Source organism: Homo sapiens, chromosome 1 (assembly GCF_000001405.40).
Source record: "Homo sapiens chromosome 1, GRCh38.p14 Primary Assembly".
NCBI lineage: Eukaryota > Metazoa > Chordata > Mammalia > Primates > Hominidae > Homo > Homo sapiens.
Window position 1 is genome coordinate 38127817 of NC_000001.11, and position 20530 is coordinate 38148346.

General features: G+C 51.1%; 2 long non-coding RNA genes across 8 annotated transcripts in view, besides 2 other annotated features; one reads left to right on the forward strand and one right to left on the reverse strand.

Moving 5' to 3' along the window:
• Window positions 810–1310: an enhancer, noted in NCBI's record as "H3K4me1 hESC enhancer chr1:38594298-38594798 (GRCh37/hg19 assembly coordinates)". NCBI's record gives its function as "activates a minimal SCP1, AML or CMV promoter by ChIP-STARR-seq in naive H9 embryonic stem cells {active_cell/tissue: H9 hESC(naive)}" and the evidence as "EXISTENCE:reporter gene assay evidence [ECO:0000049][PMID:30033119]".
• On the reverse strand, window positions 2099–13759 carry LINC02786 (long intergenic non-protein coding RNA 2786). 2 transcript variants are annotated; one of them, XR_001737991.3, is made up of 6 exons: window positions 13641–13759; window positions 6500–8597; window positions 5254–5321; window positions 4401–4514; window positions 2574–2706; window positions 2099–2189 (listed from the first exon to the last, which is right to left on the reverse strand). It is a non-coding gene; the product is annotated as a long intergenic non-protein coding RNA 2786 (long non-coding RNA). The 2 variants fall into 2 exon arrangements; XR_007065917.1 differs by having other exon boundaries at window positions 2100–2165.
• Window positions 12301–13214: an enhancer, noted in NCBI's record as "H3K27ac-H3K4me1 hESC enhancer chr1:38605789-38606702 (GRCh37/hg19 assembly coordinates)". NCBI's record gives its function as "activates a minimal SCP1, AML or CMV promoter by ChIP-STARR-seq in primed H9 embryonic stem cells {active_cell/tissue: H9 hESC(primed)}" and the evidence as "EXISTENCE:reporter gene assay evidence [ECO:0000049][PMID:30033119]".
• The window catches only part of LOC105378654 (uncharacterized), a 77745-nt gene continuing 70894 nt past the window's right edge, over window positions 13680–20530 (forward strand). For 4 of the 6 annotated variants that reach the window (XR_001737987.2, XR_002958294.2, XR_001737986.1 and 1 more), the window contains exon 1: window positions 13855–13898. This is a non-coding gene — a long non-coding RNA (uncharacterized LOC105378654). Of the gene's footprint in view, window positions 13899–20530 lie in introns of all 6 variants that reach the window. The other 2 variants (XR_007065910.1, XR_001737985.1) reach the window with 2 other exon arrangements.

Here is a 20530-nt window from a genome sequence, read left to right on the forward strand (position 1 = left end):
CCATGTGACAACCACCCTCCTCCTCCTTGCCATTCTGCTCCACCCCTCCTTTTCCTTCTTCACTCTGCTTTGACTGGATGACAACACCTGGTGGCCTGGTTGTGTTCTCTTGGTTCTGGGACAGTGGCGGGAGTGTTGTGGAGGGTCTCGGATCCCTCTCTGGCAGCTGACACTCCTGTTTTGGCGCTGGGAGGAGCAGAGCCAGGTGGAACCCAAGTGGGTGGGTGGAGGTTGCCCCTACTGGGTTCTGGTTAGGGGTTTTGGCTTCTTGAGGGCCTGAAGCGTGGCAGGGAGGGGAGGGAGGACAAGGAGGGGGAGGAAGGAAGAGAGAGAGAGAATGGGAGATAGAAACAAGAGTGAAAGAAAGCCACAGTGACCGAGAAATAGAATTGGGACAAACGAACCAACAGACAGAGATTCTGACTCTATTACCAGGCACTTCTTAAAGATCACTGTTGGCCAGGCAGTGGCTCACACCTGTAATCCCAGTGCTATGGGAGGCCGAGATGGGCAGATTGCTTGAGTTCAAGAGTTTGGGACCAGGCTGAGCAACATAGTGAGACTCTGTCTCCACAAAATACAAAAAATTAGCCAGGCATGGTGGTGCGTGCCTGTAGTCCCAGCTACTCAAGAGGCTGAGGCAAGACGATCGCTTGAGCCCAGGAGGTGGAGGTTGCAGTGAGCCAAGACTGCACCACTGCACTCCAGCCTGGGTGACAGAGTGAGACCCTGTCTCAAAAAAAAAAAAAAAATATTCACTGACTTTTCTTAGGCATGCACTTGGCTCTATCTCAGTGTGTGAAGAGATGCAGCATGTGATGCTCAGCCCTGGGATGGCCTCAGAAAGGGCTCGGGTCCTGTCCTGGACTCCAGCTGCAGCTGGCCACAGTCCCTACCCCTGCTGTGAGGGCCTGAGTGTGCCCTCCAGGAGGAGACCTTGGAGAGTGGCAGTGACGTTTCTCTGAGGGCACTCTGGCCCTGGGATGCTCTTGTTTTCCCCTCCATGGCCCCCACCTTGTTGAGGTCTTGACACCCCTCAGCTTAAGCCTTCAGGGAGCTTCAGAGATTGGAAATGAGCTTTGTAGAGGATTTTGTGCATTCTCAGCACCCTCTGGCCACACCTCACATGGGTGGCCTTTAGCCTTTCCTCAGATCCTCGATCTCGGGTCGCCCTCCTTTGTCCCTGGCTGTGGGCTTGGACCTGATGAGTCCCGTCCTCTGGTCCCTGTGAGGCTGCCTAGGCAGGGGTGGGACTGGGGGCTCAAGATAAGGAGCCTGACCTCTCCTTCTTTCCTGCCGAACTGTCAAGAAGCTCCCAGGCAGGTTCTGATCCATCCCAACCTGCTCTGCAGGCCTCCTGGGCTCCTCATTTGCCCTTTGCCTGGGGGACCCCTCCCCAGGCCCGGCCAAGGCCCAGGAGCCCTGCTAAGAGCCACGAGCAATCTCCTGAACTTAACAAGGGATCATGGCAGGAGCAGAGAGTCCCTTTGTGTCCTCACAGCACAGCACGCACCCGCCCCAGGACAGAGGGGCCCTGGCAGCCTCCAGCCTGGTTATCTGATTTAGGGGCTGATGGGGTTTCTAATGGAAAACAATATGGTAATTTCAGAATGTTCCTGATTAGATGAAAATGATATTGCATCAAAGTTACTTCCTTAATTTATTCAGAAAATAACAAGAGAGAATTCTCTCCTAAGATCCTTAATTAAACCAGAGCTTCCACCGCAGGCTAAGCAAGCTCTGAGCTCCAGGTGTGGGGAACAAAGGCCGCTCCTGGCCTGAATCTCTGAGGGGCTGCCCTTGGCTGTGGGGTCTGGGCAGGTCTTTACCCAGATAGGCTGCCCATTCTGCCAGGAGGGGGCGTTGGCAGAGACAGGGCCCAGGCTGAGGCTCCTTCTGCTGCAGGGGCCAGTGGGGTGGTCATCCTAGAATCATTCCAGTCCCGTCCTGCCTTCCTATCTTCTCCAACTTCTTCCTGCTGGGTCCCCAGTGATCCCGATCCATGGAGACTCAGAAAGCTGGGGTGGCAGAGCTGGGAGCCCAGGGCATCTTCAAGACATGGGCCAGCTGGGTGAGCATGGAAGATGCTGGTGGGGCCAGTTAGGATCCGCACTGGGTCAGCTTGGGGCAGTCGGCACACCTGAAAAGTCTTCGCCAAACAGGCTCTGATTTGAGAGGGAGAGGTAGGGCTAAGAGAAAGAATACAAGATGCTGAAGCATCTGGACTTTAGCAACAGGGAGAAGGAAGCTGTGGCCGCTCTTAGGCCTGAAGGGGCAAGGGAAGGAAGGACAGAGGAGGGGCCGCTGGACAGAGCTGTGGCCATAGAATAGCTCAGCCAGTGCCTGAATGCAGTGAGTCAGAGAGGAGATGGGAGGCACATTCCCAACCTCTCTCTTTTCCTGCCCTTGATTCCTTGCTGGTGCCACATATTAGCTGGCCTGGACTGGAAGCCAGAGGGTGGGAGAGCCTGGGAGACACACTTCATAGGGAAGGCCCCTGGAGGGCCCAGAACAGGGCAGAAAGTGAACCTGGGGACAGAGCAAGCACAGCTTCCAAGGTGATGGTAAACAACCTTTCATCTGACTGATGCCTCAGAATTTCTCCAGCACATTTTCATCCATTTTCCTTGTCATTCCCCGCAATAGCCCTGAGTATACACTGTTGTCTCCAGGAGGAAGCAGGCTCAGAGAGGTCAAGTGATATCCCTGAAATCACACAGTGGGGAGGTAATGGAGTCAAATTCCATTCTGCTTTACTCCACCTCCCTCCCCCTTTCCCCCCAATTAGACGCTTGGGTGTATGAAAGTGCTAGTCTGAGCTGGGTGTTACAGTTTCCTGGTGTGCAAGGGCCCTGTCTAGAAGCTTCTGTGAGACCATGAGGGAAGTCCTGTTTCATGCCCATGGCACGTCAGCAAGCCCTTGGCACTTTGCAGACCAGACTACAGCAAACTCCCCAGGAAACAAAAATGTCTAATTCGTGTGAGAGCTCCTGCTTTGGGGTCTGCTATAGAGTGGGGTGAGTCTGGGATCTGCTGGAGCAGGAGCCAAAAAAGGAGGCATCATTCCTGAGTTGGAATCATTTTGGAAGGAACTCCCCATCTTCCCAGGGACCATCTCCATTTGTCCACATGCCTGCTGGTTACACTGCACCAGCCTCAGTCCCCCCCACCAGACACCAGCACCCCACCTGCTGAGCAGTGTAGCAGGGGCCAGGAATAGCTGGGGATCCATGTGTCTAATCCTCTGGGTGGCAGGAGGAACCTGGGTGGGGTTCTTGGGAAGCTTTCGACTTTGAACTCTGATGTGGCAAATGGGTAGAGAGTTAGAAACGTGGGCTCTGAAACTGACTCAGAAGGACCATGAAGTGCGAGAAGAGTTCTGAGGGTGGGGAGGCTGGCAAGGCACATGCTTGTATGCGTGGGTGTGTGTGTATACATCAGCACATATGTATGTGAGGATGTGTGTGCAAGAGAAAGAGAATTGTTAGGTCACTGGCGATCAAAGGGTCAAGGTCAAAGGAGGCAGGGCTTGGATGGACTGTGATAATAATAGAAGCAGCTAGCATTTATGTAACGCTGTATGACAAGCCTGTTCCAGGCCCTTTACATAATTAACTATTTTAATCTTCACAACCAATTTAGGAGGTAGATACTATTATTACCCCATTTTACAGGTGAGGAAACTGAGACACAGAGGGGTTCAATGATGAGCCCCAATATTGGAGCTAGGATTTGGGCCCAGGTCCAAGTCATGACCACTGAGGGGCACTGCGGCCCCCAGCCTGTCCTGGAGGGCATGGTCCTGGACCCTGCCTCCTGCACAGGGCTTCTGGACTGCTACTTTGATGCTCTGTGTGTCATGCTCTTTGTCCCCAGCAGGTCTGTTTTGGGGGATGTGAAGTTGATCCCACAAAGTTCAGGTATCAGGCGGGAGGTCCTAACTGAGCCAAAACAGGGAGGTGTCAAAGAAGCTTGGGTTTGGGGGGACCATTCATCCTGGATGGCAGGATGCAGGGGTTGTAGGGGGATGAGGCAGAGAAGTGAGCAGAGGTGATGTGTAAAGGGTCTTTGTCGGCCAGACTAAGTCATGACACCTCCATCCTATAGCATGGAGGCAGGAGCCCTTGATAAGGGTTTCACACAGGAGAGTGGCATGGTCATCCTAGAAGGCTCACTCTGGTGCGGTGTGGACTGGAGAAGGAGAGACTGGAGGCTGAGCAGTTGATGAGCTGAGTAATGCCAAAACCCCCAGGCAAAAGGTGATAAGGCCTGGGCTGGGTCAGGAGGTGGAACTGGGGAGATGCTCTTAAGAGGTAGAAGCATCAGTGTTTGGGGATAGACTGGACATGGTGGGGTGGGGGAAGGGAGTCACTGAGAAGGACACCTAGGTTTTTGGTTACCTGGGTGGGTAGAAGTCGTACGAGGAAGAGCAGCTCCTGCTAGTCCCGTAGGTCCCTCAAGGCAGCAGAGAAGTCTGTGGCCCTGGTGGCTGAGGCTCGGCTACCTGGAGGAGCCTAGGAAAAGTGACCAGGGCATCTTCCCATAGGCCAGGGTATCACATGGCCCTGGAGAGATTTGGAGCCCTGGATTCTTTCCTGCTGGACACCAGAGACTGAGGAGGCAGGAGGTCAGAGGCATGGCAGTGGACAAATCAGGAAATGGGGGCAGGGATTTGTTTCCTTTGGAATCATTTTCACTTTCCTTAGCCTCCTCTGTTTCTAAAAGACTCAAACAGGAGATGGCAGGAGAAGGAAAACTATATATCATTCATTCATTTTTTTTTTTTGAGACGGAGTCTCACCCTGTCACCCAGGCTAGAGTGCAGTGGCACGGTCTCATCTCACTACAACCTCCGCATCCTGGGCTCAAGCGATCCCCTTGCCTCAGCCTCGTGAATAGCTTGGAATACAGGCGCGTACCACCATGCCTTGCTAATTTTTGTATTTTCCTAGAGATGGTGTTTCAACTCCTGACCAGTTTTGAACTCCTGACCTCAAGTGATCCGCCCACCTCGGCCTCCCAAAGTGCTGGGATTACAGATATGAGCCACTGCACCTGGCCTCATCATTCATTCTTAAGTCTGAAATTCCAGAGAAGCCCTGTGCTACAGTGGTTAGAACTCTCATTCTGTGGTTAGCTGGGCTTCACATTTCAAAATTATCACTTTGTAACTGGGTGTTCTTGGGCAAATCACTCTACCTCTCTGAGCCTTAGTTTCCTCATCTGGCAGTTAGGGATCATTCTAATACATACCTCATAGGCTTGTTGTGAAGTTTAAGGTAGTGAAGGGCCTCCATGGCAGCTCGTAATGATGCTCAGATCTGTGCAGGGTGACAGGGAACAGGGCTGCTATGGCATGTCTCCTAGGAGGCCTCCCCCCTCCACAGGGAGGGGACACAGCTATTCTTTTGGAACTGGGGATGGGGAAGAAGGGGAGGGGTGCCTGTAGGTCTTTACTGCCTGGCAATTCCAGGCCCTGCCTCTTCCTCGCAATCCTGGAAAAAAAAAATGGCAACCCCCCATCCCCCCGCCACACCATCTCCCCTGCCTAGGCATGGGCCTCTCCAGATAGGATTTGGACCTGCCACGTCTCAGCCTTTCCCCCTGGCTGCAGACAGTGCCCAGCTCAGCCCAGCTTCTCCCCACCAGGGCAGTGCCTCAACTCCAGCTGTCCTGTGCCTGCAGGTCCCAACCCGAAGCCAGGGCAAGTGGTCCCTGAGCTCTCAGATGACCCAGAGGGAGTTCTGAGGTCGGGGCAGGACCCAGCCTTGCCGCAGACCCATCTACATCCTTCCAAGGTCAGAGCCCACAGTCAGAGCCCACAAGGAAGGCAGCAGAGGGTGGTCACTTCCCTCTCTCCCTGGCTCCAGCTCTGGGAGCGAGGAGCCTGACCCCTGGCCTGAACTCGGCTCTTACCCCAACCCCAACTCAGAGAGTTTGCTGGCAGCAGCCTGGATGACTTTGGTGTAGTTTCTGTGGTTTAATAAGCTACAAAAACGACATTATTTTAAGCCAATCTGGATATAGCACAAAAACTCTCACCCCGTCTGTTCTGTGAAACTCAGATACCCTGACGAGAACACAGCTCACAACCAACTAATACAATATTCTACTGGGCGCGCTGTCAGCGGGCCCCACGCGGGAGCCGGCTCCCCGAGGAGGACGGCCCAGCCGCGCAGCGCAGGCCGAGGAGGGAGGCGGCGGCCGGGGCGGCGGAGCAGGCGGAGGGCCCAGGGCCGGGGTGGGGGCCTCGCGGGGTTGGGGGGACTGCCTATCTTCTCCCGGAGCAGCTGGGGCCGGCCACACAGAACCCCCTCTCGGCTCCCCTGCCCCCATGGATGGGGACGCGGGGAGGAGAGGAGAGAGGAGAGGAGAGGAGAGGAGAGGAGAGAGGAGAGGAGAGGAGAGGAGAGAGGAGAGAAGAGAAGAAGAGAAGAGAGGAGAAGAGAGGAGAGGCGCGTTCTGGCCTGCTGACAGCAGTTCTACTCCCACAACTCACATATGTCTGATTCCGAAGCAGGGAAGTGTGTCCAACACACCCAATGCAAAGACAGGTTGTTGAATATTTTTTCTCTCATCACTAAAAAGGATTCCCTGCTGGGTGCAATCAAGATCCATAAACTCGCGGCTCGAGTCGGTGTGAAAGCAGCGCTCCAGCCCAGACTCCCTCGCTGGCGCTAAATGCAGGCTCCGGGCGGGCGGAGATGCGCCGGCATCCGCTAGCAGCCTGGCCTTGCGACCGGCAGTTCCCGGCACATTAGGCAGTGCGCTTATTTTGGGCTCCGCTTCAGTGGATTAACTTTCAGTGTAAAGTTTTGGAGCTTGGGCACCGTCCCCGTGACACTGCCCCCTCCCCTTTCGGTGGGTACCAAACTTCACAGAGCCAGAGTCAAGGAGAGCTGGCTGGGTTCTCAGCAGCCCTGGGGTTCAGTGGCTGTTCTCCCTGGCAGCCTGGAGAGCCCCCCAGCTGGCTGACCCAGCCTGCCTTAGTGGGGACCAGGTGCCAACGCCTCTCTCTGGGGCAGAGACACTGAGCTTGCAGGGTTTTGGTGATTTTGCAAGGTTCCCGTCGGGGGTTGATCTGGGCTGAACTCGTCTCACTTCTGCTGGTGGTGGCAAGCCTGGTATCACCGCCCTCCACACACTGGCTCCCTCCTGCCTTGGGCATAGGAACCCAGGACGCATCCTGGAGGCTGGAATCCTGATGTTTATATGAAGATAAGGGTGCCTTCTTTCTTCTGAGATGCCTTCCCCATCCCTCAAGTAGGGAGGCTGAGGCAGAAAGGGAAGTGGCAGGAGACTTAGTTGGGCCATAGGAGAGCCCCAGGGAAGCCGAGGGGGCAGAGAGAGGGTGTGAGGGAGAGAAGAAAAGGGAACACGGCCAGCCCCTAGACTCCTTTCTGATGTCTTGGGAAGGAAGAGATTGGGGTTCTTGGAGAAACCTGGGCTCCTCTTTCCCTCCCCCCACCAGATGCTCAGTGACTGTCCGCTGGGAGGTGCTTTCAGATCCAATGGTTTAAAACTCTAGTTCCCATGAATTATTAAGAAGCAACTGAAAATGTTGTCTTCAGAAAAGTTCCCCTTCTTCCTCCAGCATCCCATTTTCTGGGGGCCTAGGATGTGTCATTTAAAACCAGAGTGAGCTTCAGAAACAACATGCAGGGTGAAGCAGCCCAGTGAGAGTGCCCAGACTCTACAGGGTGTGGACTGTGTTACTTACTCACTCATTCATCCCAACACATCATCAGGGCTGACTTTGTTTAGGTTACTGGATGGGGGCTTTGGGAGGCACGGCCTGGTAAGGGAGAGTAGATGCATACCTGTTCACACATTTGTTCATTTATTAACACCGAGCATGAGCCAGGCACCGTGTTTGGGTGCCGAGTGCAAGCAGATGCAGTTTAAGTATGAAGCAGAATGTGAAAAGGGCTGTGAAGGAGAGAAGGGCTTGGGGATTGGGCTGCACGGAGCCTCTGCAGGCAGCGCTGTCCAGGACCTCTCCCAGCTGCGAGGCAATGCTGAGTGAAGGCTGGATGGACTACAGTGCCTTCCGGGCCTGCATCCTTTTAAGCTTTGCATCAGCTTGCAGAAACCCACAGGGATGCAATCACTGTGCCTCAAAGTTATATCAAGGCAAAACCCAACGATGAGAAAGAGGAAATGTTGAGGCAGTTTGGGGGAGCCCTGGATTTTTTTTTAAAAAAGCCTTCTTTCCACTCATAAATCACCCTCCTTTGAAACCCCTCCTCCACTTTCTCTGCTCTCTCTCTCTCTCTCTCTCTCTCCAAGAGATCAGCACATTGCAAAGACAGGTTGTTGAATATTTTCTCTCTCATCACTAAGAAGGCCTCCCTGCTGGGTGTAATCAAGAACCATAAACTCGCCTTGCGGCTCGAGTCAGTGTGAATCGAGCCCCAGTCAGCTTTCCTCGATTCAGACACGCTCTGGCCGGCTGACAGCACGGGCCAGGCCGGCGGGTGACGGCCAGGCTGCTCTCGCAGATGCATCCGAAGGGGCTGCAGCCAGTGGGGCTGGGTCTCATAGAGTCTCCGCCACTGGCTCTGTAATGACCCGGCATGGAATTCAGGGCGCCTCTCCTGAAAGGTCAGGAAGGAGAGAAATCAATGCCTGCAGACAAGGAGTCCGTGCATTGACAGGTGCCACAGGCACTCCTTGGCCCTCACCCCATGTCCCCAGGTCCCCGGGGAGAGGAGACAGACAGGATGACCTCTCAGACTTGGCAGTTATTTCTGATGAGCAGCCTGACCAGATGGCTTTCTCTCTGGTTTTTAGAATTGTTCCTTTCAAGGTGGAAGAGGGCATGGACCTAGTGTTGCCCCAGTGGGCTAGGGTTGGGCTGGAGGGTGGTGATATTGGAATAAGAAGGGAGAGTGAAGGAGAGGCACCTGGGGAGCTGGGCTGGTGGCTGGTTGGCTGCTAAGGGAGCTGTCCTGTTCTTTGCCTATAAAGACAGGAACAGCAAGGGTAAGAAGTCTTCAGAGGGAAAGCTGGGGAGGAGCCTTTCCCGTCTTTCCTTGACTTTCTGTCTCTGACAATGTTACTGCCACTGCCTGGACCCCTGGGCCAGATGGTCCCTCCTTCCTGAAAGAGCTGCTTCCAATATCCCTTTCAAAAGATACCCTCCTCCTGCCAGCCAGCAAACCTTTAGGACACCTGAGTGGTTTCCCAAATATGCCTTGTACATTCCCACCTCCAGGCCTTTGTGTTTGCCATTTTCCCTGCCAGGCAGGCCCTCTCTTCCTTCTTTTTCTGGTAAGCTCCTTCCTACCTGTCCTTCCAGGCTCAGCAGAAATGTCTCCTTTTTTGAGGAGCTTTACCCGACCAGGCTGAGGTCACCGGTGGCTCCTGGGGAACTCATGCAATTCAGCCCTTAACATACTATGTTGTGGGGATCTGTCCATCTGCCCTTTGGGTGAGAGCTTCCCCTCTAGGGTTGGGACTGAGTCTGACTCAGCTTTACGTGCCCAGGGCCCAGCACTGAGTCTGTTGGGATGAACAGGATAGAAGTTTTATCACCAAGTTTCAACACTGCTCTCTGTCTGTACCTGCCTACCTGTGTACCTGTCTACCTGTGAACCTGTGTACCTGAGTGGGAGAGTGTGCCCTGGTTTCCATGCATCAGTCTTTGCAGGAATGTCTTTCTGCCCACTCTTCCCTTCTCCACCCTCCAAACCAGATAGGATGCTCCTTGAGGGCAGGGCGAGCTCTGCTTCATCTCTAAAAGCACAAATGCAAAGTGGGAGCTGGTAAAGATGTGTGGAACTGGGTCTGGATTTTGCTAAAAGGGACCTGTTCAGGCGGGAGCCCTCTAGGCAGGGTTGCTGTTGTGGCTTCCCATGAAGGGCCTGAGCAAGTCCCTGTGCAGGGTCCAAATGCTCACTCTTCATGGGGTGGGAGGGTCCTTTCCATTCAAGCATGGAGAAGCTGCAGCCCCAGAATCTGCAGGCTCAGCCTCAGGGGCTGGCTGTCCACGTTGGGTCTTCACATTCCCATTAGCCAGTTGTGGGGCTAGCCCTGGGGCTCTTCTCCCGGGGCTGCCAAATACGATGGCTCTCCAGAACAAAGGGCAGCGTTGTTTCTGCTGCTGCCTCCATAGCCTCCCTTGGGAGGCCGGGAGCCAGGACTCAGACAAAGTGTGGGTTTCCTCTCAGGTGGACAGCACGCCTGCCCTCCCGCCTATGCAGAGGCCACAGAGATATTGCCCACCAGATTCAGGGCTCTCATAACTCTTTCAAGACAATCACTTTATTTATATGACTTTGTTTAAAAAACCCACAGACGATCCACCACGGGGACATCTCCGACTGGCTCAGCTTGGTTCTCTCCTATCCTCTGAGTCCATAACTCTTAGTCTTTTGATTCTCCCAGTCCACACACTATAAAAATCTTATTTCTATAAGGTCTTTTATGGTTACCAAGATAGTCAATAGTGTCATTTTCATTCATATCATTCTGCAGGGAAGTTAGAGGAAACGAACCAGACAGAGGAGAGCTATAAATAAGGTTCAGCTACACAAGGCCCCAAGCAGATCCCACTGTGTTCTTTTAAAACTACTCATGCACAGAATACACACACACGACATATACCTATGCACATGTATGCCCAGTCATGCTAGAGACAGGTGCACACGAACTCACCCATGCACACAGGATGCTTTGTCCACATGCTGCTTGCATACACACACGCATGTATGTGCTTGCACAATTTAGCAGTTTTAGAAAAAAGCCCTTTATGGGATTTGCCTGTCTTTGGAGGGCCAAGAGCAGGCAGCAGTACTTGCTGTGGTGAGATGGGGGTACTGAAGCAGGCCAGCTCAGAGAACGCATTCCAAAGCCATGAACTGCAAGGCTGGGCACCTGGCCATCCATGAGCTCATGTGTGGGGAGCTTTGGAATTCCCGCCAACACAGGAGCTTAGCTCCGGCCTGAGTGGCAGAGGCAGCCACCCAGCCAGCACTGGGAATGCCGGGCCACTCTCAGAGCTTCCTCTGACTGTCTCTTGGTGTCATCTGAGGGCCAAACCCCTCATTCTTTGGAGGAGAGCCAGCTAGCTTCACCATTCTGGTTTGTGCCTTGCTGCCACACCTGATTGTCCACAGCCCTGCTGCCCACAGCTTTGCCTTCAGGGCAGGACCCCAGAGGAGGAGCATAAGTTGTGGCCCTAGAACAGAAAGCAGGAAGCCTTGGGCACTGAGGCCCAAGAGAGGCAGAGAGAGAGCTGGCAGGGGAGGGGAGGGTAAGAAGTCTTCCGAGGGAAAGCTGGGGAGGAGCCTTCCCCATCTTTCCCTGACTTTCTGTCTCTGACAATGTTATTGCCACTGCCTGGACCCCTGGGAGCAGGTAGGGGAAGGGAGGGGCTGCATGGCTAGTGCCAGAGAACTGTACTCTCCTTAGAGAATTCCAGGCTCATTGGCCTGGGGTGCAGAGGAAGGAATGGCCGCTAGAGTCAAGAGGTCTGGGTTCTAGCACTGACTAGCTGCACACTGCAGCCTTTTGCGATGCTGGGCAGACACCCTCCCCTCTCAGGGCCGCTATACCCCAGTGAACCGTAAGGAGGGATGCGCTCTCAGGTTCCTCCTAGTTTGGGAACTGCAGGTGGATTAGGCACACTTCAGGGTTCCAGGGCAGGTGTGTCTCCTTAGCTTCCCCATCTGCAAAATGGGGCTGATGATTTTTTACTGTTGGCGACATCCCAGGGACACTGTGAGGGAAACTGGGCGAAAGTCCAGGTGTACGGATGAGCTTATTTGGGAACTGGTGGCTTTGGAACTCATAACGAATGCAACCCATCAGGGTGCCCAAGACCTTGCAAAGGATCCCCTCCTACCCCCAGCTTCTTTCTTCCTCCTTACTACCCAGCACCCCCTGTACTCCCCCAGCACTGGAGAGCTGAGAATGCAGCCCAGGGCTCTGAGCTCGAGGCCTTGGAATTCCTCTATTCCCCTACTGCCTTCTTCAAGGGAACTATTAATTGTAATTTAAGCCTCCCAAGTTAAAAGCAGCGTGCAGATTTAAGGATTCTTTCATCCCAATTACACATCGTTTCTGGCTGCACTTTAGTGCCAGGCTTTTATCTGTTGTTCTGGGGAATCACTTATTGGCCAGAGCAGCGGGCTCCACGCAGATTGCTCCCTGATTATGTTTAATGGCAAATGGAGAGTTAACTCTCCTCCCTCCCCGGAGCTGTGTCGGCACTTTTCCCAGCCCAGCCGAGAGCAGCCCAGGGGAACAGGAGGGCATGGAATGGGGGAGCTGCAGGGACCTCCATGTCCTGGGACTGTTTGTGCAGGGCTCCGAGGGGACCCATGTGGCTCAGGGTGGCTAAGGGGGCAATGCTGCCCCCACCCGCTGGATGACCCAAGTGCTGTGTTTCAAATGCTGATAGCAGCCCTTTGTTTATTCTACACATTCCACTACCATGGGAGGCTACTGTGCATTCATGCCTTGGGCTGGCCTGTTTCCTCACCCACACTGGAGTGTGCCCGGCAGTTAGGGCCACTGCATCAGTCTTATACACACTTGCACACTCCGGGTGAGCCCAGCTCCTGAACCTGCACTGCCACACGCACACTCACACACACTCACACTCACAATCAACATCTCCATGTGCACGATCACACTCGACTTGCATAGACTCCCTACTCTCACCTGCGAGCACGCTCTCAGCTCAGTCCCAAACATGCACAGGGCTGGACCCTTCTCCACCATCAAATGGAGACTTTTCTGTCTGTCTTTTTGTCTTTTGCTCACAGAATTAGGCTGCCAGAGGAGCTTGGAGTGGATCTTGGAATGTCAGGTGATGAGATCATAGACTCAGACCCCTGTGCCATTGAGCCCCCAGGGTCACTCACTTCCACTGGGTTCCTGAGCCCCAGTAGGATTGTACCTTGTCACAGAGTTTGGGCTGGCTCAGTCCTTTGGATGCTACTCTGTGAATCTCAAACTTGACGCTCCAAAGCAGAGCTCCTGGTCTCCCCCAAACCTGCTTCTCCTGCAGTCCTCCCCCGTCTCAGCTCTTGGCAAGTCCTTGCTTCCATTGCTCAGGACAAAAAAACCCTGGAGTCATTCTTGACTCCTCTCTTTTTCTCACTTCCTACTTCTAGTCCATCAGCAGATCATGCTGGCTGTATTTTAAATACATATTCTTAATCTGATCACTTCTCACCACCCCCACTGCCACCACCTCGACCAACCCCACGAAGACCTGGTTTACTGTAGCAACCTCCAGACAGGCTTTCCTGCTCCTGCTCCTCCCCTCCATGCGGCAGCCAGACCCTGTCCTTCTCTGCTCCTCTTGAAGAAATACTTGAGGACCTTACAGGGGCTTGTGAGTCCTTATGTGATCTGCTCCTTTAACCCCACCCACTCCTGACTTCTCCTCCCCTATTTTCTCTCCTGCACTCCTCTCCAGCCACAATGACCTCCTTGCTGCACCCGTGCCTTAGAGTCTTTGCTGTTTCTCTGCCTAGAATGCTTTTCTACCCGATCTTTGCTTGAATAACCCTCTTCCTCCTCCTTCAAGCCTGCTCCAATGTCACTTCTTAGTGAGATCACCTTAAATATCCTATTGATCCTGCAACCTGCTGCCCCTTCAGCCCTGCTCTCCCAATCCAACTTACTCTGCTTTTATTCTTTTTTTTCCTTTTTCTCTTTTTCAGCAGAACATATACCTTCTATCACAAGTTGGGTGCACTGGGAAACAGACTCCGACAGAGACTTCGGCTTGCAGGAGGTTTACAGGGGAAGGCTCTCACAGTGGAGGAAGCAGAACCAGGCAGAGGGAACAGTTGAATTGTGATGTAGTCACAACAAAGGCCTCAGCTGACCCCATGGGGAGCTGTGAGCTGGGGGGACTTTCAGAGTCGCTCTGCATTAAGGTGAGGGGGCTGGGGAACTTATAGCTTCATCTACCTACTATTGGGTGTGGGCTGCCCCCAGGGAAGGGGAGTGACCTTGGGTAAAGCAGCTGTCTTCTTTGAGCACAATTCTGGGGAGGGACTCAGCTGAATGGCTTTGGCCACCAGTGCTCAAAGCAGCTGGGGGTGAGTGCATCCGCTCAGAAGTGGAGAACTGGGTGCCACACCACAGCGTCCACTTTGTCTTTTACTATACATAAATGAGTAAATGTTAATATATAAAATTTATTGTTTGTTGTCTGGGTGCAGTGGCTCATACCTGTAATCCCAGCATTTTGGGAGGCCGAAGCAGGTGGATCACTTGAGGCCAGGAGTTAGAAATCAGCCTGACCAACATGGTGAAACTCCGTCTCTAGTAAAAATACAAAAATTAGCCAGGCATGGGGGCATGCACCTGTAATCTCAGGTACTTGGAAGGCTGAGGCAGGAGAGTCGCTTGAACCTGGGAAGCGGAGGTTGCAGTGAGCTGAGATCATGCCACTGCACTCTAGCCTGGGCAACAGTGAGACTGTCTCAAAAAAATAAAATAAAATAAAATTTACTGTTTGTCTATCTCTCCCTCTAGAAAAGTCCCATGAGGAAAGGGGATCTCTGTGGGTATAGCTCCCTGATGTTTTCCAAGTGCCTGGAACAGTTTTGGCCCATAGTAGGCTCTCCATATATATTTGCTGAATGAATGAATGAACCTGCCCGTTTTTCAGTGTGCTGCTTGTGACTGCCATCAATTTCACTGGAATCTCAATCCCAGTTTTGCTACCAACCAGTTGTGCAAACTATGGGCAAGTTGTCTAACTTTTTGGAGCCTCTGCTTCTTCATCAGTAAAATGGAATAATAGAAGTACCCATCTGACAGGGTTTTAGGATGTAGTTAACTAATGTTTGTAAAGCGCTTTGCAGGTGCTTTGGACAAAGCTGATAGTCACTGAATATTAACTTGTTGTTAATGTTGTTAGTACCTTGGGCTCTCCTTGCTTTGGGTTGCTGCCAGGATTCTTATCAGACTTGAAGACAAAGCCAAAACTCCAGCTGGGAAATCTTGACTTTCCAGGTATACAGGAAGAGGTGGTGTACAGAAGTCTGATCTGCAGAGGTCATTATTGGTTAATGAGGATAGAGGTCTGCTTACAAGTCTCTGGCCGGAATCCTTGCCTTGGGGCAGCTCAATGTGTACCTGTGTGTGTACATGTGTCTGCACACATGATTGCACAGAGTTAATGCAAGCTACATTCAAAGCTGTGCATTCCTAAAGGATAACTGCTCATAGGTATTAGGCCCATATAGGAAGCCAGTCATTAGCAGGGTCAAAAGAGCTATCTTTCCTTCCTATCTTCTGCTCACTCTTTACCTTCTACGTGGGCTTCTTCCCCATTGCTCCTCTGAATGAACTCACTTCCCAATATGCAGTGACTTCCTTGTGGTCAAGTCCAGTGGTTGCTTACTTGACCTCAGCAACAATACTGACCACCACTCTCCATCTTTACTTCCCTGATTTGGGTATAATGAATACCATGGTATGTCTCCCTGGCTTTCCTGCAAAAGGACTCATTGAGGCACTCTGTTCTCCCAGTCAATGAAAGCATCTGTGGCCAACAATATTCTGAGTCTTTTCCCAAGAACTGCCTTTGGCCAAATGGAACTGCCTCTCCCAAGTGTTACGCCACCTCCCAAGGGTTATTACACCACCTCCCAAAGGGTACTACATCTCCCTGGAGATAGTTCCAATTCAATAATGGATAACTCTTCCTTCATTTTGGGACATCTCTAAAGGGTCATAGTTGCTCTAGCACTTTCCACCAGCCCTTGGTCAGCCCAGATTTACCTCTGTTGCCAATACATCAGAGTTCAACTTCTCTCTCTGCCTAGCCTGGCTTCCATTCCTCTTTGCTGGTGTTGTGCCCAAGAGCACTCTCCAATAAGTCCTCTGCATGCAAATCTCCATCTTTGATCTATTTCTAGGGAACTTGACCTACTACTACAGTTGGTGCTAGAAGTGGTTCCTAGGAAACAGACTCTAAAATGGGATTTTGGAGCTGGATCATCCACCGGCCAGTTGGTAATAAGAACCCCATCACTGGTGGTGGGTGGAGGTACTGATAGCCCCTGACATGCTCTAGCAGTGCAATTGTTAAAACTTTCACTGATGGGGAAGTGGGATGGGATACTGGTGAAAGGGAAAGTACTAGTGGGTGTACTTTCTCAGACATTCGAGAGGCTCAGAGGAATGATAATTATGAAGTCTATGGAATTAAATGATTGTTGCTGGGGGCAAGCAAGGCATTGGAAAAAGACAATGAAATGCTGAGAGTGATTAATCACCAATTTAAGGTGAAGTGTGAAAGCCAGAGGGCCTCCTTGCCGTCAGATAAAGAGGCTTTCTCCTGCAGCTGGAAGGCAGAAAAAACTGAGGTTTGGCCCAGGAATGAATTGTTAGGGCAGCAGATTTCTAAAGAAAACTGAATTCTCAACATAGCAAGTCAGCCCTGTTTGATTGATCAGGGCTTGACTGGGGGCTCTGACACTTAGGACAGGGGCATCTGGATGGATTCCCTTGAATGTCTTGAAACTCTAGGTCACCCTGAGCCCTCTGAGGCCACAGAGTGTCTGTCCTTTGCTTTCCTGTGAAAGGCTAGAGCTTCCCCGGTGTGATGGTTAATACTGAGTGTCAACTTGATTGGATTGAAGGATACAAAGTATTGATCCTTGGTGTGTCTGTGAGGGTGTTGCCAAAGAATATTAACATTGGAGTCGGTGGGCTGGGACAGGCAGGCCCACCCTTAATTGGGTGGGCACTGTCTAATCAGCTGTCAGTAAATATAAAGTGGGCAGAAAAATGTGAAAAGGAGAGACTGGCCTAGCCTCCCAGCCTGTGTCTTTCTCCCGTGGTGGATGCTTCCTGCCCTCGAACATCGGACTCCAAGTTCTTCAGTTTTGGGACTTGGACTGGTTCTCCTTGCTCCTCAGCCTGCAGACAGTCTATATTGTGGGACCTTGTGACTGTGTAAGTTAATACTTAATAAATTCATATATAATATATATATATATTTATATATATGTATACTATTGGTTCTGTCCCTCTAGAGAACACTGACTAATACAGATTTTGGTACCAGGAGTGGTTCTAGAGGAACAGAATATTAAGGATGGAGTTTTTTCATTGGTTTTGGGGTTTCTGGAGTTGGCTGCTTAATATGATTTGACCTCAAAATGCTAAGGACTCTAATTCTAACAGTATGGAGAACACTGATAGTCCTTGGTGTGAACTATTTAGAGAGTTATGCAAATAAAGCTATTTGACACTCCTGATTTGCTGCTCATGAGAGGCAAGGATTTCCGTGATTCTATACGTAATAGCTTTGAGCATATGTGGAGAACCAAAGAACATAATGAAGCTGGCTTGTTGCTTCTAAGTTCAGTGGACAAACTGATGAAAGAAAATGATGAACTCAGGAATTTTGTCTCCTGGCTTCAGAAGCAGATACTGAGCCTCAAATCTGCTAAGACTGCCCTGAGTGAGAGTCTTATCTCCTGTAGAGAAAAACCTGAAATTGTGGAAAAACAGACACAAGCTCTTATCATGTGAGTGGCTGACCTGCAACCAAAGATGGGTGCATAGCCTCTCCAGGTGTCTACTGTTAAAGTGAGGGCATTGATTGGAAAAGAGTGGGACCCTGAAACTTGGAATGGGGATGTATGGGAGGACCCTGCTGAAGCTGGAGACACTGAGTTTGTAAACTCTGATAAACCTTTTTGGAGAGAAGGAACAGCTTTGCCATTCCCAGTAGTGGCAACATCCCCTCCTGGACCCATGCTGCCATCAGCCTTTCCACCTTTGCCTGAGGAGATAAACCCTGCACTGCCTGAGACGACAGTGATGGCCTCCTCTGAGGCAGTTGCCAGGCAAAATAATGTTGATTCTCCTCAGGAGCCACCCCCAACACCCCTGTTTGCTTCTAGACCTATAACTAGAATAAAGTCCCAGCAGGTCCCCGGAGGTGAGGTTGAGAGTATGATCCATGAGGAGGTGAGCTACACTCAAAAAGGGGAGTTCTCTAATTTATATAAACAACAATCTGGAGAACAGTCATGGGAATGGATATTAAGAGTATGAGATAATGGTGGAAGGAACATAGAGTTGGATCAGGCTGAATTTATTGATTTGGGCCCACTAAGTAGGGACTTTGCTTTTAATATTGCAGCTTGGGGAGTTAAAAAATGTTCTAATAGTTTATTTGCTTGGTTAGCTGAAATATGGATTAAAAGATGGCCCACTGTGAGTGAGCTGGAAGTGTCTGATCTCCCTTGGTTTAATGTAGAGGAAGGAATCCAAAGGCTTAGAGAGATTGGGATGGTGGAGTGGATTAGTCACTTTAGATCTACTCATCCCAGCTGGGAGGGTCCAGAAGATGTACCCTTAACCAAATAGATTGTGAAATAGATTTGTGAGGGCAGCACCTGCATCTTTGAAGAGCCCTGTAGTTACTCTTCTCTGTATGTCAGATCTAACAGTGGGAACCACAGTCACTCAACTACAAAATTTAAATTCAGTGGGAATAATTGGATCCCGAGGTGGCAGGGGCCAAGTGGCAGCACTCAACCATCAAAGGTAAGGTGAGCACAGCTACCGTAATGGGCAGCAGAGGCAAAGCAGCAATCAGAATAGTCTGACTTGTGTAGAGCTCTTGCACTGGCTAATTAATCATGGTGTTCCTATAAGTAAAATTGATAGGAAGCCTACTGCATTCCTACTTAATTTATACAAGCAGAAAACTTTCAGGTTGAATGGGCAAAAGACTAATTTGAATTATAAAAACAGAGAATCACGGCCCCTCAATCAAGTCTGTAAACTTGAGCCAGTTTACAGACCCAGAACCCCTTGAATGAAGGGGAGGCAGTGTCCTCTTGAGGAAGGACCCCACTACATTACTGATAATTTATGCAGTGAATCTTTCTTCCATCCTTCCCCAAGGAGACCTCCAGCCTTTTACCAGGGTAACTGTGCACTGGGGAAAGGGAAATGATCAGACATTTCGGTGACTACTGGACACTGGCTCTGAGTTGACGTTGATTCCAGGGGACTCAAAACATCACTGTGATCCTCCAGTTAAAGTAGGGGCTTATGGAGGTCAGGTAATTAATGGAGTTTTAGCTCAGGTCTGACTTACAGTGGGTCCAGTAGATTCCCAGACTCATCCTGTGGTCATTTTCCTAATGCCAGAATGCGTAATTGGCAGAGACATACTTAGCAGCTGGCAGAACCCCCACACTGGCTTCCTGACTGGTAGGGTGAGGGCTATTATGGTGGGAAAGGCCAAATTGAAGCCATTAGAGCAGCCTCTACCTAGAAAAATAGCAAATAAAAAACAATATTGCATCCCTAGAGGGATTGCGGAGATTAGTGCCACCATCAAGGACTTGAAAGACACAGGGGTGGGGATTCCCAACACATCCCCATTCGGTTTTCCCATTTGGCCTGTGCAGAAGACAGGTGGATCTTGGAGAATGACAGTGGATTAAACTTAACCAAGTGGTGTCTCCAATTGCAGCTGCTGTACCAGATGTGGTTTCATTACTTGAGCAAATTAACATATCTCCTGGTACCTGGCATGCAGCCATTGACTTGGCAAATGCCTTTCTCCATTCCTGTCCATAAGGCCCACCAGAAGCAATTTGCCTTCAGCCAGCAAGGCCAGGAATATGCTTTTATTGTCCTACCTCAGGGGTATGTCAACTTTCCCGCTTTGTGTCATAATCTTATTCGGAGAGACCGTGATTGCTTTTTTGCTTCCGCAAGATATCACACTGGTCCATTACATTGATGATGTTATGCTGATTGGATCCAGTGAGCAAGAAGTAGCAAACACACTGGACTTACTGGTGAGACATTTGTGTGCCACAGGATGGGAAACAAATCCGACTAAAATTCAGGGATCTTCTACCTCAGTAAAATTTCTTGGGGTCCAGTAGTGTGGGGCCTGTCGAGATATTCCTTCTAAGGTGAAGGATAAGTTGCTACATTTGGCCCCTCCTACAACCAAGAAAGAGGGACAATGCCTGGTGGGTCTATTTGGATTTTGGAGGCAACACATTCTTCATTTGGGTATGTTACTCTGGCCCATTTATTGAGTGACCTGAAAGGCTGCCAGTTTTGAGTGGGATCCAGAACAGGAGAAGGCTCTGCAATAGGTCCAGGCTGCTGTGCAAGCTGCTCTGCCACTTGGGCCATAGGACCCAGCAGATCCAATGGTGCTTGAGGTATCAGTGGCAGATAGGGATGCTGTTTGGAGCCTTTGGCAGGCCCCATAGGTGAATCACAGCGGAAGCCTCTAGGATTTTGGAGCAAAGCCCTACCATCTTCTTCAGATAACTACTCTCCTTTTGAGAAACAGCTCTTAGCCTGTTACTGGGCTTTGGTGGAAATTGAACGTTTGACTATGGGTCATCAAGTCACCATGGGACCTGAACTGTCTATCATGAACTGGGTGCTTTCTGACCCATCTAGCCATAAAGTGAGTGGTGCACAGCAGCATTGCATCATCAAATGGAAGTGGTATATATGTGATCGGGCTTGAGCAGTTCCTGAAGGCACAAGTAAG